The sequence below is a fragment of the Homo sapiens genome, chromosome 12, assembly GCF_000001405.40.
Source record: "Homo sapiens chromosome 12, GRCh38.p14 Primary Assembly".
Taxonomy (NCBI): Eukaryota; Metazoa; Chordata; class Mammalia; order Primates; family Hominidae; genus Homo; species Homo sapiens.
Genome location: NC_000012.12, coordinates 83,818,681 through 83,823,454, shown reverse-complemented (window position 1 = coordinate 83,823,454; position 4,774 = coordinate 83,818,681). Strand labels below are relative to the sequence as shown.

Genomic DNA, 4,774 nt, shown 5'->3' with positions numbered 1-4,774 from the left:
TCTCCTGCCATGAGCCTGGGCCCAAGCAAGGCTGGCAAAGTGGTCAAGAAAAATCCTCTGTCAAAAGGAAAAGAAACCACTTATCAAAAAGACATCTGCATGTGCATCTCAGCACAATTCACAACTGCAAATATATGAAATCAACCTAAGCGCCTATCAAAAGATGAGTGGATAAAAAACTGTAGTGTGTAGACACACACACACACACACACACACACAACATAGAATACTACTGAGCCCTAAGAAACAATAAAATAATGTCTTTTGCAGCAACTAGGATGGAGCTGGAGGCTGTTATTTTAAGTGAAGTAACTCACAAATTGAAAACTAAATACTGCATATTCTCACATGTAAGTGGGACCTAAGCTATGCATATTCAAAAGCATACAGAGTGGTGTAATAGACATTGGAGACTCAGAAGAGGGGAGAGTGGGAGAGAGATGAGGGATGAAAAACTACCTGTTGGGTACAATGTACACTACTCAAGTGATGGTTGCACTAAAATCCAAGATTTCACACTATACAATTCATCCATGTAACCAAAAAGACCACTTATATACCCTTAAAGCTATTAAAATTTCAAAAACATTTTAAAATAAATTGGAGTGGTCATAGGAGACCAAAAAAATGTCCAGGAAATTTCCAGAATGGTGTGATATATAAATGTGTAGCTCCTTGCAGATAGTATGAATGTGCCTGCTTTTTCCTCTGCTAACCTCACTCACTCTGTATTCTGTCTTCCATATATCCTAGAGATGGCTATAGGGTCAAAAGTTAAGTGAAATATGGGTTCCAGATTCTCAAGGTAAATTTCAATAAAAAAAAAAGTGAATGGAGAAGGAAGGGTTTCTCCTGGCTAATATCTTTCTTTTCAAATGTATTCATTAACTCCTTTTTAAAAACAACTCCCACCTACTGACTTATATAGCTACTCTCCACTTTCCATCCTTTAGTCATTATTTTAGTCTGAGTGACGACATATAAGGAAATTCATTATTCTCCTTAATCTGTGGACCAACTCTAGTCTTCCATATTACAGGAAACTGCCTTCTTGAAAATCCTCCAAGAAGTTTTTTTCATGTGCAACAGGTTTTCCAGTTCTCATTATTTTATTCCTATCCATAATTTGATACTGTTGCCCAAATCCAGCTGCTATTGCTTTTCTCTCTTCTCTCCTTGGTTATATTTCATCCTCTTGCCCTCCTATCTGTGGACATTCCCTCGGATGTGGTCCAAAAATTTTGCTATTTACTCCTTTTATTTGTAAGAAAGCTTATTCTTGCTCAAGGCTCTGATGTTACAGATGACTCTTGCAAAGTTAAATGCACTATTATCTATTCAGAATTGCAACACAGAATCATTTCTTATACTCCAAGTAGCCACCACAGTTTTGAGTTGAGAGTGTTACCATAGCTTCAAATTTTCTGTTCCTAATCTAGGTAATGTTTGTTGTTTGTTTTGTTTTGTTTTCTCTGATCAGAATGACTCAGGTATGTAACTGCTATTTGAAACAATTCTCCTAGTACTGTTTTTTTTTTTATTTTTAAAGGTTCATGCTAATCTTTTCTATATTGTTCCAATTTTAGTATATGTGCTACTGAAGCAAATCTTGTCCTTTCTTTCCATTCTCTACATCACTATTCCTTTCATCTTTTGCAGGGGTTCCTACAATAACCTCTTTACTAGTCTTGTTTTCACTATTTCCTCACTCTATTCCCACAACAAAAGACTACTTGATCAATCTTTTACAAGCATTGATTTTATTAAAGTATGCTTCTGTATATAAGCATGCCCTCAGGATAAAATCTGTATTCAGTAAGTGTGACTTTGAAAGTCCTTCCTTACCTAAGCTCTCTGCACCTATCCTCCCTCCTCCCACCAACTTTATCTAATTACTGTTGCATAAAAACATCCTATAATCATTTTATCTTCATTTTGGTTTTAATATATTTGTTCAGTTCTAGGGACTGTTTATTTGATAACTTCCGTATACTACTATATCACTGCCTGACATCCAATAATTTTATATTATAATTTCTCATGATTAAGAAATAAATTATGAAGGAGCCATAAAACTGACCTCTCTGCAGATAAATGCATTCTCTAGTTACACAGAAAAATGCTCATAACATTGGTGATTCTTTAAATTATAAAATATAAATTGTATACATTCATAGATACATATGTTTAGTATGTGATACATATTTATATACCTAAATATTTATAGAGCTTTCCTTTTAATATTGGGTTATGAGTGACTACTTTTATTCTTTATGCTTTTCTGTAATTTCATAATATTCTGTAAAACATACTAGTTTGTTATATAATGATAACAAATAGATTAGGAATAGAAAAACATTAGACATGTACTTTTTAGATATATTTACATGCTTTTGTCATGTAAAAATTTTTTAATCTTTTTACAATTTCATTTTTGTCGTTTGTTGCATTTATTTTATGTTATCTCTCCACAAGTGCTATTATTATAACAGGTAAAAACTTTGGTTTCCATCTAGAGGGTTGGTGCTGGTGTTACAATCAATCCCTGGCTTCTAGGCAGGTATTATGTGGAATATTACAAAAGTTTTTTCTGACCTTTGCTATAAACACTCCAGGCTATTGTATCAACATTCTTGAGGAAGCACTGCTTAAAATTTCTCTGCAAGGCTGGGCACGGTGGCTCATGCCTGTGATCTCAGCACTTTGGGAGGCCGAGGCAGGCTGATCATGAGGTCAGGAGTTCAAGACCAGCCTGGCCAACATGGTGAAACCCTGTCTCTACTAAAAATACAAAAATTAGCTGGGCATGGTGGTGGGAGCGTGTAATCCCAGCTCCTTGGGAGGCTGAGGCAGGAGAATTGTTTGAACCTGGGAGGCTGAGGTTACAGTGAGCCGAGATCGTGCCGTTACACTCCAGCCTGGGCAACAGGCGAGCATCCATATCCAAAAAAAAAAGAAAAAATGGTTTCTGGGTCTCTTATTACTAACCTTTGAATTGATCATTAAATGTCTACTTACAAAAAGAATAAATCAAAATCTGATTTCTTCCTTCAGTGGTTACTTTGATACTTAGAATAGAAAATCCTGTTGTTATATTTTCATTGGATCTTTAAATATCTACATTCTGTTTAATACGAAGACCAACTAGAAACGAAGTAGGCCTGGAGTACTGTACAATTTACTTATACAAATAAATTTTTATTATCCACACTGACTGTATGTGATTTAGATCAAAAGGAGGCAGACATTATGTAGCCATTTTCCTGTGTTACTAAATAATGCATTTATCTCCATAAAAGACAATTTAATGGCCCCATCCTGATTTATTTCTTAAGCTTGAGAAACTGTAATTTCAACACCTGCTTATTTTACTTGTTAATTATAATGAAGATAGTTTTCTAATACTCTTTGCTTAGGAACTTTGAACCTAGAATTCAAACTTGTATCATGCACTAGAACTAGGATTTGTTTTGTCAGGGGAAACAAAATTTCCATTTCAAAGTATTCCAGTGAACTGAAAGACAATTGTTAAATACATATTACATATCCGGCTTAGGATACATTCCCCTACTTATTCTAATAGGAGCATTTCTCATGCTATTTAATTTCTTTGACAATATCATTGAGCCTATTTATAATCCTACAATAATATAGAACCGTGCCAGTCTCATTTTGAGTAATGCTATTTTCCAAAGTCCATTTTTGATGACTGTAAAATCTGTATTTCTATTCCCTCATTCTCTTTCATGCTGAAAGCCATATTTCAAAGTATCTGGATGCCCTAAAGCCACCTCAGACTTAATATAAACTAAACTGAACTCTTTACCTTCCCTAGAAAGTTTATTACTTTTCCTGTTTCCTAACTCCATGAATAATGTCAGAATCATCTAAATCCCCAAATTCGAAGCTTCAAAGTCATCCTCAAATGTGATCTCTCTCTTTTCTCCCCAAGGCAATTAATCAAGTTCTATTAATTTTATATCATCAACGTCTTTCAAATTTGCTTTTTGTCTCTAACCAATGTTACTGTTTTATTCCATCTTTTATAAACTCTCAACTGGCACATGAATAGCATCCTAAGTGTTTCCTTTAACTCTCATGCAACTTTTATCCAGTCACTAAAATTCCATTCAGTAAAAAATAGCAAGGAAACAAATTTAAAAATCAATCTCTTACTTAATGTATTTTATCATCCTTCAATAATTAAAAGTCAAATTCTTCAATATGACATTCAAGCTCTCCACAATCTAATGCTTAAAAACATATTTCTCATCTTTTTATCTTACTCTTATTATGCAAGCCGAAGCTCTCTCAACAACCCTACCTAAACCCCCAGACAAAAGCCAGCACCAGCAGCAAGATACATAAATGAGTCATCTTGACTGGCCCAGCCCCAGCCAAGCCTCTAAATCAAAGTAGTCCAGCCAGTGCTATGTAGATCAGACAAAACTACTCCTACTAAGCCCAGCCAACCCAGAGAATTCTGACAGATAATCAATGGAAATTGTTACTGTAAGTGACTGAGATTTTGGTGATTTGTACATACCAATAAGTAACTAAAAGAGTTAAGTATCCAAAAAGAATGCATTAACTATGCATTTATGTATAATATTTGTCAAATCCAAGCAGGCCTCTAATTTATGAGCATCTCTTAAATAACCCCAAAATTCCACCACTGAAGACCTGCTTATTTTACTTGTTCATTATAATGAAGGGATTATTTTCTACACTCTTTGCCTAGGAGCTTTGAAACCTAGAATTTAAATTTTTTATC

The 4,774-nt window shown here is 34.5% G+C and overlaps 1 annotated feature.

Annotated features, from left to right (window-relative positions):
• Positions 4,211–4,505: a silencer, noted in NCBI's record as "tiled region #9787; K562 Repressive non-DNase unmatched - State 24:Quies". NCBI's record gives its function as "represses a minimal TATA promoter and a strong SV40 promoter by Sharpr-MPRA in K562 cells {active_cell/tissue: K562}" and the evidence as "EXISTENCE:reporter gene assay evidence [ECO:0000049][PMID:27701403]".